Genomic DNA, 23354 nt, shown 5'->3' on the forward strand with positions numbered 1-23354 from the left:
GCCATTGCTTAAGCACATAAAAACCTGAGGACAAAAAAGGCACTGTTGCTGCCATGGGAGTTTATAATCGGGTTAACAAGAAGGAAACAACAACAAAAAAAACATTAACATAAAAAGTCACTTAAAAATATTTGTAGGCATATATGACATGGAAAAAAATCAAGAATGAACAGGAAGTCTATGTTTGGCTAATTCCCTTAACGTCAAGGACAACATAATCCCTTTGCTACCCAACAGGCCCCTAAGGTGGAATCTTAAAAAATCAATCAATAAATAAAAGGAAACCAAAACTATTGAAGTATTACTACACATTTTCAAAAACACATGAGAAACACAATATTAAAGTACTTATCCTGCTGTCTCCTTTTTTATTGTAATAAAAGTAACAGAAAGGAAAACTCAAATACTTTATGTTTCTAGTCCATGACATTCTTGTTACTTTTACATTGGAAACTTCAGCTTTCTCCACATTTTCGGGATTTCGCAATGTGGAAACCTCAAAGATACTAGCTCTTTCAGTTTATTACCGTAGATATAATTATGGGTCACAGATACACTTGTATCTATGAAAAGAGATCCAGAGCATTACTATCGTCAAACAGCCAGCTAAAATGAAAATGTAATTGGGATTCTGTGCTCTGAAAAGTGCAGCATAATTTTATTTCAGTCTATCTCCCTAAGAAAATTCATGAAAGACACTTTGGACGTTTCATTTAGCTATTTGACAGTAAAGATGAAAACTACATCCAGAAATGAAGAAGAGAACACCAAATCTCAGAAATCTGTTCTACAGAAAAGTTATTGCCAAGTATATTCCTGTCAAAATACTACCTCATTATTCTAAATAACACAGAGGTCTTCATTCTACACTAAGTGTTTCCTTAAATTTTAGGTACAATTCACTAGTTTAAAATGAGCAACTATTCAGGAAATTTGTATGAACAAGTTAAAGGCCTCAATAATACCTAAAAGCAAATCATTTTACTCCCTCTGACATTACCTGATAATTGTATACAGGGAACTGATATCCAGTGGCGACTTGAAATGGTGAATTTGGATAAGCAGGAAATGCCTGAAAAGAAAGGTTCCAGAAAAAAATGAATACGGTAAACCATTTTTTTAAAATTAGAAAGAAATATAATTCTGAATATAACAAAAATAGGTAAAATATTGTTTTTCTACATACAATAATGCAGAATTCTAAATGAATGACTGACTTTATGAAGAAAGAAAGATTCTATGACAAGTGCTACACTTTGGGAGTGAAGGGGGAACTAATGACAAAAGAATTGACTATTTCACCAAAGTTTACCTTATACTGTGTACTTATTCACACCCAGAAGTTATTTCTTACACTGGTGGTAAGGCTCCATTAAGAGAGATTGCAAGGTAAGTTAAATTAATACATTTGCTATTTCCCTGTCAGAATATTTCTAGACTGTTTTGTATCAGACAATATTATAGGACAATATATAGTTTGACAGATGTTATGGCTTTGTCTGTACTTCATTACGAAAAACTAAGTGCAGTCTATAATCCAATACTGGACAAGAGAAAGTATAATGTCTTATATGTTTCAAAAAATTTTTATTATCTGAAAACATACAGGTAGCAGCATACATGAATACACCCAGATTCAGTAATCGCTCACAGTAAATGACAGAAACAAGTAAGGCTTTTTTTCTAGCCATTGTTCAGAGAAGGAAAAAGAAGAGGTATACCATACATGTTTCAAGTACATGGAAAATATCACGAAATTAGAGACAACCGCAGAACTATTTCACTATTATTTTGTTACTACATTTTCCATCAAAGAAAATGTCTTTTAAGCTAACACATCAATGAAATGAACTAAGAAGAATATAAACGTTATTTATCAACAGTAAGTGATAGAGTATGTCAAACCCTACTTTAAATATCAATGTCACCAGGATCAGAGAAATTAGATGCCAGAAACTCAAGCGGTTTATATATATATACTAAATCACATCAGAAATCTACCCATTCCAGAACCAGAATATATCCAGAAGTCAGCAATTTATATGAGGAGGCATCTGGAAATCATTTCAAATAAAGGATAGCTAGATGAATTGCTAAACTTACGGAAGAATAAAGTAGGCAGACACATAAGGAGAGCTGCTTTCATTCACTTTAGGAACTGCTTATACGGGGGAAAGCTGCTCTGGTGATTTGCAGGTAATACTCTCCTTTACTTCTATTCTTATTTAAGCATAATTAACAGCAAAGCATTTCTGTTTCTCTTCTATAAATTTACTACTGCTGGTAAAGCCAGAGGCAGATTCTATGCAGCTACATGCTAATTCTAAAGTCACGTGAATATTACCTTTCTTTGATTATATAGTCTATCATTATGTGGAGCTGCCATTGCTTAAGCACATAAAACCCTGAGGGCAAAAAAGGCACTGTTGCTGCCATGGGAGTTTATACTCGGGTTAACAAGAAAGTAACAACAACAACAACAAACATTAATATAGAGAGTCACTTAAAAATATTTATAGGCATATATGACATGGAAAAAAAATCAAGAATGAACAGGAAGTCTATGTTTGGCTAATTCCCTTAACGTCAAGGACAACATAATCCCTTTGCTCCCCAACAGGCCCCTAAGGTGGCATCTTTAAAAAAAAAAAAAAAAAAGGAAACCAAAACTATTAAACTATTCCTACATATTTTCAAACACACATGAGAAACACAGTATTGAAGTACTTATTCCGCTGTCTCCTTTTTTATTATAATAAAAGTAACAGAAAGGAAAACTTAAGTACTTTATGTTTCTTGTCCATGACATTCTTGTTACTTTAAATTTGAATCTTCACCTTTCTCCAAATTTTTGGGAGTTGGCAATGTGGAAACCTCAAAAATACTAGCTCTTTCAGTTTATTACCATAGATATAGTTATGGGTCATAGATATACTTGTATCTATGAGAAGAGATCCTGAGAATGACTACCGTCAAACAGCCAGCTAAAATGAAAATATAATTGGAATTCTGTGCTCTGAAAAGTGGATCATAATTTTATTTCACTCTATCTCCCTAAAAAAATTCATGAAAGTCAGTTTGGATGTTTCATTCAGCTATTTGACAGCAAAGATGAAAACTATATCCACAAATGAAGAAGGGGACACCAAATCTCAGAAATCTCTTCTACACAAATGTTATTGCCAAGGATATTCCTGTAAAAATATTACTTCATTACTTCTAAATAAGACAGAGGTCTTCATTCTACACTAAGTCTTTCCTTAAATTTTAGGGACACTTCACTAGTTAAAAATGACCAACTATTCAGGAAATTTCTATAAACAAGTTAAAGGCCTCAATAATACCTGAAAGCAAACCATTTTACTACCTCTTACATTACCTGATAATTGTATACAGGCAACTGATATCCAGTGGTGACCTGAACTGGTGAATTTGGATAAGCAGGAAATGCCTGAAAAGGTTGCAGAAAAAATGAATATGGTAAACCACATTTTAAAATTAGAAAGAAATATAATTCCCAATATAAGAAAAATATTACAAAACGGAAAATATCCTTTTTCTACATACAACAATGCAGAATTCCAAATGAATGACTTTATGAGGAAAGAAAGATTCTATGTCAAGTGCTACACTTTGGGTGTGAAGGGGGAACAAATGACAAAGAACTGACTACTTCACCAAAATTTACCTTATACTGTGTACTTATTCACACCCAGAAATTATGTCTTACACTGGTGATAAGGTTCCACTAAGACAGATTGCAATGTAAGGTAAATCAATACATTTGCAATTTCGCTGTAAGAATATTTCCAGACTGTTTTGTATCAGACAATATTGTAGGGTAATATGTAGTTCTATAGATGTTATGGCTTTGTCTGTATTTCATTCCAAAAAACTAATTGCAGTCTATATTCCAATACTGGAGAATAAAAAGTATAATGTCTGACATGTTTCAACAAATTCTTATTGTTTGAAAACATACAGGTAGCAGCATACATGAATACACCCAGAATCACTAATGCCTCACAGTAAACGAGAGAAACAAGTAGGGCTTTTTTTCTAGCCATGGTTCAGAGAAGGAAAAAGAAGAGGTATACCATACATGTTTCAAGTACATGGAAAATATCAACAAATTAGAGACACAGCAGAACGATTTCACTATTATTTCATTACTTCATTTTCTGTCAAAGAAAATGTCTTTTAAGCTAACACATCAATGAAATGAACTAAGAAGAAAATAAACGATATTTATCAACAGTAAGTGACACACTATGTCAAACCCTACTTTAAATATCAATGTAACCACGATCAGAGAAATTACATGCCAGAAACTCACCGGGTTTATATATATATACTAAACCACGTCAGAAATCTGCCCATTCCAGAACCAGAATATATCCAGAAGTCAGCCATTTATATGAGGAGGCATGTGGCAATCATTTCAAATAAAGGATAGCTAGATAAACTGCTAAACTTACCGAAGAATAAAGTAGGCAGACACATAAGGAGAGCTGCTTTCATTCACTTTAGGAACTGCTTATAAGGGGGAAAGCAGCTCCGGTGAGTTGGAGGTAATACTCTCCTTTACTCCTATTCTTATTTAGGCGTCATTAACAGCAAAGCATTTCTGTTTCTCTTCTATAAATTTTCTACTGCTGGTAAAGCCAGAGGCATATTCTGTGCAGACACATGCTAATTCTAAAGTCACGTGAATACTCCCTTTCTTTGATTATATAGTCTATCATTATGTAGACCTGCCATTGCTTAAGCACATAAAAACCTGAGGACAAAAAAGGCACTGTTGCTGCCATGGGAGTTTATAATCGGGTTAACAAGAAGGAAACAACAACAAAAAAAACATTAACATAAAAAGTCACTTAAAAATATTTGTAGGCATATATGACATGGAAAAAAATCAAGAATGAACAGGAAGTCTATGTTTGGCTAATTCCCTTAACGTCAAGGACAACATAATCCCTTTGCTACCCAACAGGCCCCTAAGGTGGAATCTTAAAAAATCAATCAATAAATAAAAGGAAACCAAAACTATTGAAGTATTACTACACATTTTCAAAAACACATGAGAAACACAATATTAAAGTACTTATCCTGCTGTCTCCTTTTTTATTGTAATAAAAGTAACAGAAAGGAAAACTCAAATACTTTATGTTTCTAGTCCATGACATTCTTGTTACTTTTACATTGGAAACTTCAGCTTTCTCCACATTTTCGGGATTTCGCAATGTGGAAACCTCAAAGATACTAGCTCTTTCAGTTTATTACCGTAGATATAATTATGGGTCACAGATACACTTGTATCTATGAAAAGAGATCCAGAGCATTACTATCGTCAAACAGCCAGCTAAAATGAAAATGTAATTGGGATTCTGTGCTCTGAAAAGTGCAGCATAATTTTATTTCAGTCTATCTCCCTAAGAAAATTCATGAAAGACACTTTGGACGTTTCATTTAGCTATTTGACAGTAAAGATGAAAACTACATCCAGAAATGAAGAAGAGAACACCAAATCTCAGAAATCTGTTCTACAGAAAAGTTATTGCCAAGTATATTCCTGTCAAAATACTACCTCATTATTCTAAATAACACAGAGGTCTTCATTCTACACTAAGTGTTTCCTTAAATTTTAGGTACAATTCACTAGTTTAAAATGAGCAACTATTCAGGAAATTTGTATGAACAAGTTAAAGGCCTCAATAATACCTAAAAGCAAATCATTTTACTCCCTCTGACATTACCTGATAATTGTATACAGGGAACTGATATCCAGTGGCGACTTGAAATGGTGAATTTGGATAAGCAGGAAATGCCTGAAAAGAAAGGTTCCAGAAAAAAATGAATACGGTAAACCATTTTTTTAAAATTAGAAAGAAATATAATTCTGAATATAACAAACATAGGTAAAATATTGTTTTTCTACATACAATAATGCAGAATTCTAAATGAATGACTGACTTTATGAAGAAAGAAAGATTCTATGACAAGTGCTACACTTTGGGAGTGAAGGGGGAACTAATGACAAAAGAATTGACTATTTCACCAAAGTTTACCTTATACTGTGTACTTATTCACACCCAGAAGTTATTTCTTACACTGGTGGTAAGGCTCCATTAAGAGAGATTGCAAGGTAAGTTAAATTAATACATTTGCTATTTCCCTGTCAGAATATTTCTAGACTGTTTTGTATCAGACAATATTATAGGACAATATATAGTTTGACAGATGTTATGGCTTTGTCTGTACTTCACTACGAAAAACTAAGTGCAGTCTATAATCCAATACTGGACAAGAGAAAGTATAATGTCTTATATATTTCAAAAAATTTTTATTATCTGAAAACATACAGGTAGCAGCATACATGAATACACCCAGATTCAGTAATCGCTCACAGTAAATGACAGAAACAAGTAAGGCTTTTTTTCTAGCCATTGTTCAGAGAAGGAAAAAGAAGAGGTATACCATACATGTTTCAAGTACATGGAAAATATCACGAAATTAGAGACAACCGCAGAACTATTTCACTATTATTTTGTTACTTCATTTTCCATCAAAGAAAATGTCTTTTAAGCTAACACATAAATAAAACGAACTAAGAAGAATATAAAGGTTAGTTATCAACATTAAGTGATGGAGTATGTCAAACCCTACTTTAAATATCAGTGTAACCAGAATCAGAGAAATTAGACGCCAGAAGCTCACGGGGTTTATATATATACTAAACCACATCAGAAATCTACCCATTCCAGAAGAAGAATATTTCCAGAAGTCAGCAATTTATATGAGGAGGCATCCGGAAATCATTTCAAATAAAGAATAGCTAGATGAACTGCTAAACTTACCAAAGAATAAAGTAGGCAGACACATAAGGGGAGCTGCTTTCATTCACTTTAGGAACTGGTTATAAGGGGGAAAGCAGCTCCGGTGATTTGGCGGTAATACTCTCGTTTACTCCTATTCTCATTTAAGCGTCATTAACAGCAAAGCATTTCTGTTTCTCTTCTATAAATATTCTATTGCTGGTAAAGCCAGAGGCAGATTCTATGCAGATACATGCTAATTGTAAAGTCACATGAACACTACCTTTCTTTGATTATATAGTCTGTCATTATATGGACCTGCCATTGCTTAACCACATAAAAACCTGAGGGCAAAAAAGGCACTCTTGCTCCCATGGGAGTTTATAATCGGGTTAACAAGAAAGTAACAACAACAAAAAAATTAATATAAAGAATCACTTAAAAATATTTATAGGCATATATGACATGGAAAAAAATCAAGAATGAACAGGAAATCTATGTTTGGCTAATTCACTTAACGTCAAGGACAACATAATCCTTTGCTCCCCAACAGGACCTTATGGTGGCATCTTAAAAAAAAAAAAGAAAGAAAAAGAAAGAAAAAAAAAGGACACCGAAACTATTATATGTATTCCTACACATTTTCAAAAACACATGAGAAATACAACATTGAAGTACTTATCCGGCTGTCTCCTTTTTCATTATAATAAAAGTAACAGAAAGGAAAACTTAAGTACTTTATGTTTCTAGTCCATGACATTCTTGTTACTTTTATATTGGAAACTTCACCTTTCTCCAAATTTTCGGGAGTTGGCAAGGTGGAAACCTCAAAGATACTACCTCTTTCAGTTTCTTACCATAGATGTAATTATGGGTCATAGATATACTTGTATCTATGAAAAGAGATCCAGAGCATTACTATCTTCAAACAGCCAGCTAAAATGAAAATGTAATTGGGATTCTGTGCTCTGAAAAGTGCAGCATAAATTTATTTCACTCTATCTCCCTAAGAAAATTCATGAAAGTCAGTTTGGATGTTTCATTCAGCTATTTCACAGTAAAGATGAAAACTGCATCCAGAAATAAAGAAGAGAACACCACATCTCAGAAATCTCTTCTACAGAAAAGTTATTGCCAAGTATATTCCTCTCAAAATACTACTTCATTACTTCTAAATAAGACAGAGGTCTTCATTCTACACTACTTCTACGTGTTTCCTTAAATTTTAGGTACACTTCACTAATTTAAAATGACCAACTATTCAGGAAATTTGTATAAACAAGTTGAATGCCTCAGTAATACCTGAAAGTAAATCATTTTACTCCTTCTTACATTACCTGATAATTATATACAGGCAACTGATATCCAGCAGTGACCTGAAATGGTGATCTTGGATAAGCAGGAAATGGCTGAAAAGAAAGGTTGCAGAAAAAAATGAATATGGTAAACCACTTTTTAAAATTACAAAGAAATATAATTCCCAATATAACAAAAATATTACAAAAGGTAAAATATCCTTTTTCTACGTACAACAATGCAGAATTCCAAATGAATGACTGACTTTATGAAGAAAGAAAGATTCTAGGTCAAGTGCTACACTATGGGTGTGAAGGGGGAACAAATGACAAAAGAATTGACTACTTCACCAAAGTTTACCTTATACTGTGTACTTATTCACACCCAGACGTTATTTCTTACACTGGTGGTAAGGCTCCATTAAGAGAGATTGCAAGGTAAGTTAAATTAATACATTTGCAATTTCTCTGTAAGAATATTTCCAGACTGTTTTGTATCAGACAATATTATAGGGTAATATGTAGTTCGACAGATGTTATGGCTTTGTCTGTACTTCATTACAAAAAACTAAGTGCAGTCTATGATCCAATACTGGAGAAGAGAAAGTATAATGTCTTACATGTTTCAATAAATTCTTATTGTTTGAAAACATACAGGTAGCAGCATACATGAATACACCCAGAATCAGTGATGCCTCACAGTAAATGACAGAAAAAAGTAGGACTTTTTTTCTAGCCATTGTTCAGAGAAGGAAAAAGAAGAGGTATACCATACAAGTTTCAAGTACATGCAAAATATCAACAAATTAGAGACACTGCATAACTATTTCACTATTATTTTGTTACTTCATTTTCCGTCAAAGAAAATGTCTTTAAAGCTAACACGTCAATAAAATGAACTAAGAAGAATATAAACGTTATTTATCAACAGTAGGTGACAGAGTATGTCAAACCCTACTTTAAATATCAATGTAACCAGGATCAGAGAAATTAGATGCCAGAAGCTCACGGGGTTTACATATATATACTAAACCACATCAGAAATCTACCCATTCCAGAACCAGGAAATATCCAGAAGTCAGCAATTTATATGAGGAGGCATCTGGAAATCATTTCAAATAAAGGATAGCTAGATGAACTGCTAAACTTACCGAAGAATAAAGTAGGCAGACACATAAGGAGAGCTGCTTTCATTCACTTTAGGAACTGCTTATAAGGGGGAAAGCAGCTCCGGTGATTTGGAGGTAATACTCTCGTTCACTCCTGTTCTTATTTAAGCGTCATTAACAGCAAAGCAATTCTGTTTCTCTTCTATAAATTTTCTATTGCTGGTAAAGCCAGAGGCTGATTATTGGCAGATACGTGATAATTCTAAAGTCAAGTGAATACTACTTTTCTGTGATTATATAGTCTATCATTATGTGGACCTGCCATTGCTTAGGCACATAAAAACCTGAGGGCAAAAAAGGCACTCTTGCTCCCATGGGAGTTCATAATCGGGTTAACAAGAAAGTAACAACGACAAAAAAATTAATATAAAGAATCACTTAAAAATATTTATAGGCATATAGGACATGGAAAAAAATCAAGAATGAACAGGAAGTCTATGTTTGGCTAATTCACTTAACGTCAAGAACGGAATCCCTTTGCTCCCCAACAGGCCCCTATGGTGGCATCTTAAAAAAAAAAAAAAAAAAAAAAAAAGGACACCAAAACTATTAAAGTATTCCTACACATTTTCAAAAACTCATGAGAAACACAATATTGAAGTCCTTATCCTGCTGTCTCCTTTTTTATTATAATAAAAGTAACAGAAAGGAAAACTTAAGTACATCATGTTTCTAGTCCATGACATTCTTCTTACTTTTATATTTGAAACTTCATCTTTCTCCAAATTTTCAGGAGTTGGCAATGTGGAAACCTCCAAGATACTACCTCTTTCAGTTTATTACCATAGATATAATTATGGGTCATAGATATACTTGTATCTATGAAAAGAGATCCAGAGAATTACTATCTTCAAACAGCCAGCTAAAATGAAAATGTAATTGGGATTCTGTGCTCTGAAAAGTGCAGCAGAAATTTATTTCACTCTATCTCCCTAAGAAAATTCATGAAAGTCAGTTTGGATGTTTCATTCAGCTATTTCACAGTAAAGATGAAAACTACATCCAGAAGTAAAGGAGAGAACACCACATCTCAGAAATCTCTTCTACAGAAATGTTATTGCCAGGTATATTCCTCTCAAAATACTACTTCATTACTTCTAAATAAGACAGATGTCTTCATTCTACACTAATTCTAAGTGTTTCCTTAAATTTTAGGTACACTTCACTAGTTTAAAATGACCAACTGTTCAGGAAATTTGTCTAAAAAAGTTAAAGGCCCCAATAATACCTGAAAGCAAATCATTTTACTCCCTCTTACATTACCTGATAATTATATACAGGCAACTGATATCCAGTGGTGACCTGAAATGCTGAATCGGGATAAGTAGGATATTCCTGAAAATAAATTATACAGAAAGAATGAATTAATACGTTAAAACATTATTTTTAATTAGGAAGAATTAGTCCCAATATAACAAAACTATGAAAAATTTCGAAATACTAATTATTTTTCTATCTGCAACAATGTAGAATTGTAAGTGACTGACTGATTTATGAAGAACGTATTATTCTCGGTCAAGTGCTATGGTTGGGCGTGGAGGGGGAACAGACAAATGTCAAAAGAACTGGCTATGACACCAGGCAAAGTTAACCTTACTTATATTGTGTACTTATGCCCACCCAGAAGTTATTTCTTGCACTGGTGATAAGGCTGCATTAAGACAGAGTTCAATGTAAGTTAAATTAATACATTTGCTATTTCCCTGTAAAAATGCTTCCAGACTGATGTGTATTTGACAATATTATAAGGTAATACGTAGTTCTGCAGAATTTACGGCGTTTTCTGTACTTCATGTTGAAAAACTAAGTGCAGTATAGAATCCAATACTGGAAAAGAGACAGTATAATGTCTCATATGTTTCAATAAATACTTATTGTTTCAACACATATAGGTAAGCAGCATGCATCAATACACCCAGATTCAGTAATGGCTCACAGTAAATGATAGAAGTAGGGCTTTTATTCCAGCCATTGTTCACAGAAGGAAAAAGAAGATGAGGTATACCGTACATGTTTCAAGTACAGGGAAAATGTCAACAAATGAGAAACACTGAATATAACTACTTCACTACTATTCTGTTACTTTATTTTCCATCAAAGAAAATGTCTTTTAAACTAAGATATAAATAAAATGAACTAAGAAGAAAATAAACGTTATTTACCACCAGTAAGTGACAGAATATGTCAAATCTACTTTAAATAGCAAACTAACAAGGATCAGAGACACTACATGCCAGAAACTTGCGGGATTTACAGATACCTAAAACATATCAGAAATCTACCCATTCCAGAACCAGAATATATCTGGAAGTCAGCAATTTAATATGCAGAGGCATCTGGAAATCATTTCAAATAAAGAATACCTGGATTAACTGCTAAACTTAGAGAAGAATAAAGCAGGCAGACACATGAGGAGAACTGCTTTTAAATATTTTAGTTATATGGGGGAAAGCAGCTCAGGTGTTATAGAGGTAATACTCTTTTTAATCCTATTCTTATTTAAGAGTAATTAACAGCAAAACATTTCTGTTTCTTTTATGAAATTTTTTATGGTTGGTACATCCAGATGCAGATTCTCATCAGATACATGCTATTCTAAAGCCAAATTAATACTACCTTTCTTAGATAAAGCCACATTAGGACTACCTTTCTTAGATTAAATAATCTATCGACAAGTAACTGAACACTTGTCATAATTTGGAGAAGCCATTGCTTAAGCATACAAAAACCTGAGAGAGAAAAAGGCACTGTTTCTCCCATGGGAGATTATAATTGGGTTAAAAAGAAAGTAACAAAACGTTAACACATCAATATAAAGAATCATTAAAAATATTTATAGGCATATGTGCCACACAAAAAATCAAGAAAGAAGAGCAGGTATATGTTTCACTCATTCGCTTTACCGGAGGAACAACATAACTCCTTTGCGCCCCAACAGGCCAGTGCAGTGGAATCTTAAATTAAAAAAAAAAAAAAAAAAAAAAAAGTAACCAAAATTATTTAAATACTCCTACACGTTTTCAAAAACACATGAGTTACATAATATTGGAGTATTTATCATGATGGCTCCTTTGTTATAATAAAAGAAACAGAATAGAAAAAAGAAGTACTTTAGGTTTCTAATCCCCAAAGTTCTTGTTGTTACTTCTACACAGAAAACCTCACCTTTTTCCCAATTTTATGGAAACAGAATTGTGGAACCCTCAAAGATATTAATTCTTTGAATTTGTTACCACAGATACAATTATGGGTCACAGATAATAGTTGTACCATTGAAAAGAGACCCAGAGAACTGCTATCATGAAGCAGCAAGCTAAAATAAAAATACAACTGAAATTCTGTGCTCTAAGAATTCGGTAAAGCTTTTATTTCACTCTGTATCTCTACAAGATTCAGGAAAGTCAGTCTGGATGTTTCAGCTCTTTGACAGCAAAGATAACAAAATACATGCTGAAACAAAGAAGGGAACACCAAATCTCAGAAATTGTTCTACGGAAAAGTTATTGCTAAGTACCCTCCTGTCAAAATCTTATTTCATCACTTCTAAATAAAACAGAGGTCCTCATTACACTAATTCTAAGTGATTTCTTAAATTTTAGGTACAGTTCACTAGTTTAAAAGGACAACCTATTCAAGCAATTTGTATAAGCAAGTTGAGGCCTCAATAGTAGCTGAAAGTAAATCATCTTACTCCCTCTTCAATTACCTGATAATTATATACAAGCAACTGACATCCAGTGATGACCTGACCTGGTGAATGTGGATAAGCAGAGTAAGCCTGAAAATAAAGTTTACAGAAAGAATGGATTAATACGGTAAAACATTTTCTTTAACTAGAAAGAAATATCATTCCCAAAATAACAAAAATACGAAAAACCTTGAAATGGTAATTATTTTTCTACATACAGAAATACAGATTTCTAAATGAATGACTGACATGAAGAAACAAATATTCTCTGTCAAGTGCTACCCTTTGGGCGGGGAGGGGGAAGAGACAAATGACAAAACAAGTGACTGTTGCACCGGCCAAAGTCTACCATATTTATACTGTGTACTTATGCCCACCCAGAAGTTATTTCTTACGCTGCTGATAAGGCTCTATTAAGATAGATTTCAACGTAAGTTAAAATAATACATTTGCTCTTTCTTTGGCAAAATACTTCTAGACTGTTTGCTATCTGATGATATTATAGGGTAATACTGTAGTTCTTCGGCAGATGTTACGGCTTTCTCTGTACTTCTTTTCCACAAATTAAGGGCAGTAAGTAAGCCACAGCTGGAAAAGAGACAGTATAATGTCTTCTACTTTTCAATAAATACTTACTGATTAAAAACATACAGGTAGCATCATTCATCAATACACCCACATTCAGTAATGGCTCACAGTAAATGCTACAAACAAGTAGGGCTTTTCTTCTAGCCATTGCTCAGAGAAGGAAAAAGAAGAAGAGGTGTACCCCACACGTTTCAAGTACATGGAAAATGTCAACAAATGAGAGACACTGAAGAACTAATTCACTACTATTTGGTTACTTTATTTTCCATCGAAGAAAACCTCTTTTTAAAAACTAACACATAAATAAAATGAACGAAGAACAAACTAAACGTTATTTATCACCAGTAAGTGACAAGAGTATGTCAAATCCTACTTTAAATATCAAAGCAACCAGCATCAGAGAAATTACGTGCCAGAAACTCACGGGATTTCTAGATAGAGCAAAAGAGATCAGAAATCTACCCATCCCAGAACCAGAATATACCCAGAAGTCAAGCAATTTATATGAGGAGGCATCTGGAAATCACTGCAAGTAAAGAATAGCTAGGTTAACTGCTAACCTTAGAGAACAATAAACTAGGCAGACACATAAGGAGGGCTGCTTCCAAATACTTTAGGAACTAGTTATATGAGGTGAAAGAGGCAGAGATAGGAAGAGATTTGTTCATGTGTCTACAGAGGTCATTTCTAAGAGAAAGCTTCGCCAAGTATACAGAAGATTCTTAGCTCAAATGACGAACACGAAGAATAAGAAATTTCTAACAAAAGTAACAGATTTCCCGTTACTCACACTGTTCAAACAGGGATTCTATTGCCACTTACTATGGAAAGTGTAGATACAATTCCACAGAGGGAAGGATGACTAGAATAAACAAGAGAACAGGAACATAAGCAGTTCTTACCTGAACGTGCTGAGTTACAGGATTCGGCGTGATTTGGGGCTGCAGGTAGGTTTCAGTGTTTGGATTCCGCCAGACGTTCTGAAACTGTGGTGGAGGAGGAGGATTAACTACCAAAGGACGTGGCTGCACATGACGAGCACCTTTTTAAAAAGCAAGAAGAAAAAAGCCTATTTTTAGTTATTTGAAAAGCTACACAGGTCAGAAAAGAACCATTTCTTTTCCTACTCACATAACTTTTGTTTCCTGATTGCAGGGCCCAGCTTCAGCTTTTTACCATGGAAATGTATCTGTGACTGAAAATAGAACCGTTAACAAAACTAGAATCAATTTTCAAGTGTTAGCTTCCAAGACTTGGGTAAACACCTGAAGTCTTCTAAAGTACCTATCATCATAGAAGATCGGGGACAACTACGCACCAAATTAAAATTTGTCATCACGAAGCTACCTTACTTACCCTTACTACTCTAATCAGTGTCAAGAGGCATCAAGTGAAAGTTGATCAAAAACTTTCCATCACCCTGTCTCCAACCCTTCCTGTCTGTAGTTCATGAAACTAGGTGTCCAGTCAAAAATAAACAGGATCAAACAAGCTACGTGAGGTTACTCTGAGTTTGGATTTTGAACAGGAAGTGTGTCTTTCCCCAAATTTTACACAAGTCCGAGTGTATCACTGACACTAAACGTTGTAGCAATAAGATAAATAAGAGATTTTTCTATTAGATTACTTACTCCTACTATCTTCTGGACATCCACGTCATTAACAAACGAAACAAATCCATAGCTATAAAGGCAGACAAATGAAGCATAAAATCACCATCATACAGTACGTGGTTCAGAAGGTCTACTATTCTATATACAGAAGTGATCATGACAAAAGACGAATAATATACCATGATAAGTATTTGCTAAGATGTACATGACAGATCCTCTACAAATACCACTTTTTCTTAAGCAGAACTATGTCAAAATGTGCTAGGATTAGGGCAGTGTGACAACTTTATTGATTAGCAAAGAATTCATATCTGTGAACCTGAGTTTAACTTACTGTCTAAGACAAGGTGGTTAAAATTTAAGATGCTCTGCAGTGTATGAAGAAAACAATTATTTGAGAAAACTGATTAACTCATCTGTATGAAATAGAAACTGGAGACATTTAAATACAAACATTAGAAAAATGGTCAAATAGAAGAACTGGTAATAGCCTTTTATCCCCTACGTGAAAGAAATTAACACTGCAGAATATTGCATTTATACAAGGGTCAGAATATCAGTTTTGAAGTCTTGTCTGATACTTATAGAATAGGTGACTGGAGTTCACATATTTTTGATAAAATTACTCACCCTTTGGACACACCAGTTCGATTCGTGATTATCTTCACTTCTTTCACTGAACCGTATCTACCAAAGCAGCTTCCAATCTCAGTTTCATCCATCTATGGAAAAGAACTGAACGTCAGAGTAAAAATTCAGCATTCAAAAATTTCAACTTTACTACAATTTTACTACCATGAGGTGGAAATTTCTCCCCCATTTATCCCCGAATGACCAGCAGCCCTTTGTCAAAGATATTTTTAGTACCTATGGGTCAAACCTAAAAGCAATTCTAAACCTCCAGGAAGTACAAAAAAAAATTTAAGTTTGTAACAGGGCCCACATCCCATTGTTCATGATGTATGTTAAGGTAAAAATGAGGTACGAATACAATACCCTAGCATCAATTCCACCAACAAAAACAGTGTTTGGCACGATTTTGCCTTCTGGTAACACCCAGCCTTGGCTAGCTGCAGCTGATGAAGACTGGGTGCTGGCCTCTCTGGAGATGGTTGAGTTTGGAGTCTCAGGATTTGCAGCAGACTGTAATTTGGAAAGTAGACATCATAATTACGTATGCAGGCAAAACCCATACATAATGTGAAATACCATTTTTGTATTTTAAGTATATTTTACATAAATTACTTTCATTGTAATTCAGTCACCAGTGCAGCTCAGTTCAGGCTCAGGATTTAAACTTATCAGAGTACATCAGCATGGAATTTTAACCGAAGGATACAGTACTTTCTTAAACCTAGTGCCGCTCATCACCGAGTCTTGTATAATGCTGTGGAAGAATACCCATTTAGTATTTGTGAAAGTACTACGTGAAGTAGTTAAAAAAGACACCCAAAACTAGAGAGTTTAGATTTGTAAAAATTAAAGTTATTAAAATCATCCTGTTCTATATTCATAAACAACTTTTCACTTTACTGAGTAGACTAAAGATAAATCTTAAAAAAAAAAAAAAAAAAAAAAAAGCCCCACCAAAAAGAAAATAAGCCTCAACGTTTTAAACCAATTTGTTACAATCCTCTTCCCTAACGCTAGGGTGTTCAAAGCATCTTTTGAAATAACATTTTTCTTCCTGAGTAACACGGAATCAGTCTGACTGATAATTCTGATTTTCACAGTGGGCTGATAGATATAAATGATACCATCTTTATTTTCAGATAAAAAAACACATACATATAACTCACTAATTTTCTAGATTCTGATCAGAACTGTCTTTATTCTTTCCACAGCAGACTCTAAGGTTAATGTAAAATTTTCTGAAGTAGTATTCATAAGTAATATATACGTTGGAGAAACAATATAGCATAGTGAAACAAAAATTAATTCAGTCAGGAGATCTAGGTTTATGTCCCTTACAGGTAAGTGGTTATAAGCCACCTACTTGCCAGCTATGTATCTGTGGGCAAAGTGCTTTGAGAATGACATGAGATCACATCTGTGAATTCATTTTGTACGTATAAAGTGGTACAAGTGGTGTGCCAATGTAAGTTAGTGTCCTGTTATTTGAATTTATTTTCAGCCGATTTGTTTTCAAGTTTCTTTTTTGGCTTCACTATTTAGCTGACTTATTTTGAAAAAAATTTTAATTAAGAACTAATTGACACATCAGGAAACTATGACACATCATTAATTTAAAAATCATTGGTGAAGTGCTGTTGACTTCACAAATGTCAGTACAAAATGCTGCAAAAGAGAAAGCTATTACACATATACCTGTCTGAAAGAAAACAAAAGACAAAAGAAACTGCGTTATCTTTTAGAACACAGTAATGTTACAGAAGTTAATAAGAAAGGAGGGTTCCTGCTTTGTTAATTAGAGCCTAGAAGTTACTGATTCTACACAGCTTTACTAGAGATCAAATCTAAATTGTCAAATCAACTAAAGCCGAGGTTACTGCATTTCTCTATTCTTTCGTGCTTGTACTTGCTATTTTGGGTTTGTAACTAATTCCTAATTCTTTCCTTTAACAGCGTTATTTCATGACAATGATGTGAAAGAAAAATTTAAAACACTGTTTTTAAAGTTCTTCCTTTCAAAAATGTCTCACATTATTGTTTTTTCCAAATGACATTAAGCTGCACTACCTTGAACTACTGGGAACCTGATTAGATCTCCCTTCCCTATAGACAATTTACCAATTCCTTCTCAGTTCATTCAGAAATCCCAAACAGAATAAAACAAAACAAAACAAATTCTGAAATTCTTGTAGTTTCTTTTTCTCCTTTCCAATTCCTCCTTGATTTGTGGATGAACTTTGGGTACGTGTTTCCTTGATAAACAAGCTATATTACAGTATCGTCTCTGCACCATAGTGTTTGGATGTATTTTAATTTAGAAATGTAACATCTGGCAGAAAACTGTGTCAGACTACGAGAGGTTATGGAAATGCACTGATTCTCAACTGGGCAAGATTTTTGAGCCCCAGGGGCATTTAGCGACGTTTAGAGATTGGCTGTCACAACTGAGATGTATTCCTGGAATCTGATGGGCCGAAGGCCAGGCACACTACTGCGCATCCTACAGTGTAAAGACAGCCTCCTACCATAAGGAAGTATTTGGTGCACAATTTGAAAAGGGTCTGGTTAAGAAACCTTGTCACCGTGCCACAAGAATTGAAGAGGAAAATTCTTCTTTGGGAAGAACCTGATTTCCATCGCTCACTAAAGTGAATCTTTTCATGACCTCGGTTTCAGTTTCCTTGCTTGAAAACGAATGGCCGGAAAAGACCTCGGGTGTCTCTTCTGATTCTCATACTCATTTGGATACTCGAAATAACCGTAGTTTGGTAAAGAAGAAAAAAGGCATTTGATATTATTAAGAAGTTTGACTTTAGCTTGGATCTTACAAACCGGCTGCCTGCTTAACTGGAATCGTACATATAAAATTCACTGAATCTCTCTAATAGCGTCATAATACTTTAAATGAAGGAAGTAATGATCATGTCCTAGTCCTCAGCCAGCAGGTGGCGCTCAAAGCTAACAAGGTAAGCAATGTACCTCGTTTTCTGCAACGTACTTCACTTTTACCATGGCTCGAGTAGCAGGGATTGTTCAATTCCGACTGTGTACTTATACATAATTATATAATGTATATATAAAAATCCACAATCAACAGACAAACTTTGGTTAGTTTTAAACTACGGCCAAAAATATAAATGAATGCTTCGGATAAGCAAAAGTTTAGTTTGAAAGAAAGTACCATCGTAACCGTCAATGGCATCCTGAAAACAAACTGCATTAAAGAAGTAATTTTCTTGGCCGGGCGCGGTGGCTCACGCCTGTAATCCCAGCACTTTGGGAGGCCGAGGCGGGTGGATCATGAGGTCAGGAGATCGAGACCATCCTGGCTAACAAGGTGAAACCCCGTCTCTACTAAAAATACAAAAAATTAGCCGGGCGCGGTGGCGGGCGCCTGTAGTCCCAGCTACTCGGGAGGCTGAGGCAGGAGAATGGCGTGAACCCGGGAAGCGGAGCTTGCAGTGAGCCGAGATTGCGCCACTGCAGTCCGCAGTCCGGCCTGGGCGACAGAGCGAGACTCCGTCTCAAAAAAATAAAATAAAATAAAACAAACAAACAAACAAAAAAACACAAAACACAAGAAGTAATTTTCTTAACCGTATCTTCAAGTGAGTTGTTGAATTTTCAAATGAGAAATGTTGCAATAGTAAACAGGGGTGAGCTTCAAGACCGTCATAATCACAACTCTCATTGCTATTTCTAGCAAACATATTCCTTGTTATATGCGGACAATCAAGTGACAAAGACAGCTAAAAGCTGGAAAAAATTATCATTAAACTCCTGCCATGTCAGCTCCTCTGCCAGTATTATCTAATGCAATTACTATGTGAACATGTAAGCAAATTGTTATTTACATAAACTGGCCAGGAAAAAGCCTATCATTTGTAGTCATCAAAGTTACATTCACAGCAATAGGAAGAGGAGCAAATAAAGAGAATGCTAAAATTAAGAAAATATGACGTGAAAATCAGAAGTTAATCCAAGAACAGAGTCCCGGGGAGTGGTGGGTGGCAAGGATGAAATTCAAGCAATACACAATCCTTGCAAAACTAAGCAAGAAAAAGCAAAAATATATGAGACCTGAAAAATGGGTTGTGGCCCGTGGTTATAAAAGAATGTTATGCTCAAACTCTATAGGAATAAATTTTGAAATCAACGACATGGTCAACTTGTACAGAAATTTTAATTCTTCCCAAACAATCTTGAAAAAGAACACCCAATGGTATTTGGCTTAGTTTCCCTGGGAGTTTTTTCAACTTGTAAAGAAACAGGTAACTTGGGTGTATGTGGTGTGTCACAGAGAGGTGCACACAGACGCCAGAAACCTGAAGTAAAGATAGAAGAAGAGATTAAGAAATGTAAACTCTTTTCTTCAATTTTCAAAGAGGAAAAAAGTACTTCTCAATGCATTTTACAAAGGTTAACAACACATAAGCAACAAAGCCTCATCAAGATGGTCCAACCCTCTCCTCAACACAAATGCAAAATTCCAGTAGGAAAGAATATAGTTTATATTGGCAATGCAAGAATACTGCATTCGCAGGATACGTTACTTTAATTCATCATTGAAAAAGTATTTAATAAAATACAGCATTCATTTTTAAATTTTTTAAAAACCTAAGTAAAATAGAAATAGAGGATTCTTGCTTTCTATCAATCTAATTCTACCCTATCATGAAGCTTACAGTGAAATACTAGAGCCATCTCCACTGAAAATAGGAATAAGGTAAGGGCACCATGGCACCTCATCATTACTACTATATATATTTTCCCACTATGTATGACAAATGCGAATATTAATACAGGGTTTTTATGAGTCAGTAAGAAAAATAAAATTAAAAAAGGAAATTTAAAAAGCTAATGATCAATGCTCAACTTCACTGATGATTCAAAAAAGTGCACATCAACATAGTGTAACATTATCCAGCTATTAGGCTGACGATGTACAAAATCCTAATACCGTTCATTAGAAAGGGTGTGCAACAGAGATCACTCTACACACCATCAGTGGGAAAATACTGATACATGCTTTACCAAGAGCACCTTGGAAAAGGTGTATCATAATTTGACAGGGGGATACTCACCACTATACTAATGAGGAGCATAATTTAAAATTGTTATGAAAGGGCAAAAGCACTTCCACCCAGCAATGCCACTTACAGCAATTAATCTCAAGGAATTAATAATTAAGTACAAGTGTGCCAAGATATTTACACAAGGACATTCATGGCATTTTTTAAATTTTGTTTTGAGACTGAGTCTCCCTTTGTTGCCTAGGCTGGACTGCAGTGGCACCATCTCAGCTCACTGCAACCTGCTTCCCAGGTTCAAATGATTCTCCTGCCTCAGCCTCCCGAGTAGCTGGGATTACAAGTGCACGCCACCACGCCTGGCTAATTTTTCGTATTTTTAGTAGAGATGGGGTTTCACCATGTTAATCGGGCTGCTCTCGAAATCCTGACCTCAAGTGATCCGCCCGCCTCAGTCTCCCAAAGTGTTGGGATTACAGGCGTGAGCCACCGCGCCCAGCCCATGATAGTTTTAATACTGAAAAAGTATTCATCATAAGGGAATTCAGTAAAACAACAGTACAATTTTTAACATGATATACTGAAAATTAAAGTTATCTTCAGAATAATACCCACATTAATTGAAAGCTGCCAGTTGTAAAATAGTATTAAGCAGCACTATGTAACTTTTGTAAAAGCTGGCCTATCTATATGCAATTGCAATACATGCATAAAAATAAGTTGGAAAGGCATTCATGTATCAAAACTTAACTGTGGTTTTATGTGTTGGTATTAACATGGACTGCTATTTTCTTAGTGTGATTGTTTTCAAATGAGTAAATATACTACACTACTTTTATAATCAGGAAAAAAACCTAATGAAACGATAAGCATTTCTTCCCTCTACCTCTAAAAATGAAAAGTATTATTGTAAATAATTATAACTTATAACTCAAGGTGATTTTTTCATTAGCATGGGTAACATGTTGCACACTTATTACACATTATAGTTGCTTATGTATTTTTAATGTTTATACATGGTAATATAAACCGTGTATAAAACTCCTCCTTTTATTTCCAAAAACGAAAAGACAAAATTATCAATGCAGATACGCACACAGCATGTAACACGCGTGTTTGTGACTCAGTGTTTGGTCAGCGTATTCAGAGCCACATCTGTGATGGCGCTCAATGAACGCTGGGCATTTACCAAACTCACAGAAATGCACACCCAACATTATCTACCAATTGGACATTTAGTCAAAGTTTCCTGGTTTATCTACGGGGGAAAGATTGTGCCTGGAGTTTAAAAATTCTAAAATTCTCAATGGTAACTGCCGAAGCCAACCTCTTGCCACAAAGATGGCGTCGAGTGAGCTTTTGTGCCTGTCGCCGCCGCAGTAGGGAGCCGCCATCAGCCAGCCGCCATCAGCCAAGCCCCCAGCAGCTGCTAGCCGCGAAAGGATCAGAGGCACTTCCCACCCAGCCCCCTCAGCTAGTGGGCCGCGCCTTCAGGCCGCCCCACCCGCCACACTCAGGCCCCCACAAACCCCACCAACCCACCCCACCCAGTAGTACAAGGACCAGGAGGGAACCACTTCCTGAAGAAGTTCCGGCCCTCCCAATCCAAGGAGGCAAGTCTCTCAGCAGGCCCGCCGCCATCTTGCGGAGCCACCAGGAGAGCGTCAGAAGTGAAGTTGGCGGGGTGGGGGCGCGTGGGAGTGGGGGAAGGGGGAAAGGGCGCCTAGGAGTGGGGGTGGGGACGCGTGGGGGTGGGGAACCCGCACCCCAAACCGCTGCCAGGAGAGAACCCGGGGCAGGAAATGGGTTCCGCAAGGAGGCCGTGGCCCTTGTAAGTGAACTGTGAGGCAGGGCGTCCTGGGGACCCACGCCATGCTTGCTGTCCCGCCACTTCTGTGCCTGCCTCTCTGTATAGGCCGCGCTGCTGCCAGGCCGCCTCACCCCACCCTGCGGGCCACGGCTCCTAATGCATTCAGCGGGGTGGCCCCGAAACAGGAAAACCGAGGATAAGGCGGAGCCTGGTTTCACCCACCGGTGAAGACCCCACAGGCCTTGCCCCTCAGGTCTTTCCTTCAACTCACCATGGTGGTGGCAGGCAGCAGCTCCCGACAGGCTCAAGGAGGAACAGAGGCAGTGTTTCACCCACCACTTCTGGGTCTGCTGGTGAAGTCCGCTGGAACACGCTGTGGGGCTTCGAGTGGTCAAAGGAGCCAAAGGCTAAGGTGTAAGGAAAACCAAGGGCGGGCGAACCCTCGGAGGTAGAACCGCCAGGCTGAGGAGCGCAGGCCGACTGAGGCATGGACTGCGGGGCTCTGGGAGGTGGCTCCTGTGCCGGGTATCGGGGCGCGTGGTATCGGCCTGAGCCAATGGGTGGCAGCACACCCGCCCCCTGGAGGGTGGAGGCCTGCGGGGGATGACGGCCGTCCCCCACGCTGTGGGTGCGTAGAGTACGCAGGGTATGCCGTGCGTGTGTGCTGGCCAGTGCCTGGGTTCCAGGCAGGCACCGCCTCCAAAACACCCTTG

General features: G+C 36.2%; 1 protein-coding gene across 1 annotated transcript in view; it reads right to left on the reverse strand.

Annotated features, from left to right (window-relative positions):
- DAZ3 (deleted in azoospermia 3) overlaps nucleotides 1-23123 on the reverse strand; it is a 50325-nt gene extending 27202 nt beyond the window's left edge. The window contains exons 1-12 of the mRNA NM_020364.4: nucleotides 22913-23123; nucleotides 16165-16311; nucleotides 15799-15890; nucleotides 15187-15238; nucleotides 14687-14750; nucleotides 14458-14597; nucleotides 12986-13057; nucleotides 10543-10614; nucleotides 8153-8224; nucleotides 5757-5828; nucleotides 3380-3451; nucleotides 1001-1072 (exon numbers count right to left, since the gene is read on the reverse strand). Of these exons, the coding sequence (NP_065097.2) occupies nucleotides 1001-1072; nucleotides 3380-3451; nucleotides 5757-5828; nucleotides 8153-8224; nucleotides 10543-10614; nucleotides 12986-13057; nucleotides 14458-14597; nucleotides 14687-14750; nucleotides 15187-15238; nucleotides 15799-15890; nucleotides 16165-16311; nucleotides 22913-22915 (930 nt within the window). The 5' untranslated portion in view covers nucleotides 22916-23123. The remainder of the gene's footprint in view (nucleotides 1-1000; nucleotides 1073-3379; nucleotides 3452-5756; nucleotides 5829-8152; nucleotides 8225-10542; nucleotides 10615-12985; nucleotides 13058-14457; nucleotides 14598-14686; nucleotides 14751-15186; nucleotides 15239-15798; nucleotides 15891-16164; nucleotides 16312-22912) is intronic.

This window comes from Homo sapiens, chromosome Y (assembly GCF_000001405.40).
Source record: "Homo sapiens chromosome Y, GRCh38.p14 Primary Assembly".
Classification (NCBI taxonomy): domain Eukaryota; kingdom Metazoa; phylum Chordata; class Mammalia; order Primates; family Hominidae; genus Homo; species Homo sapiens.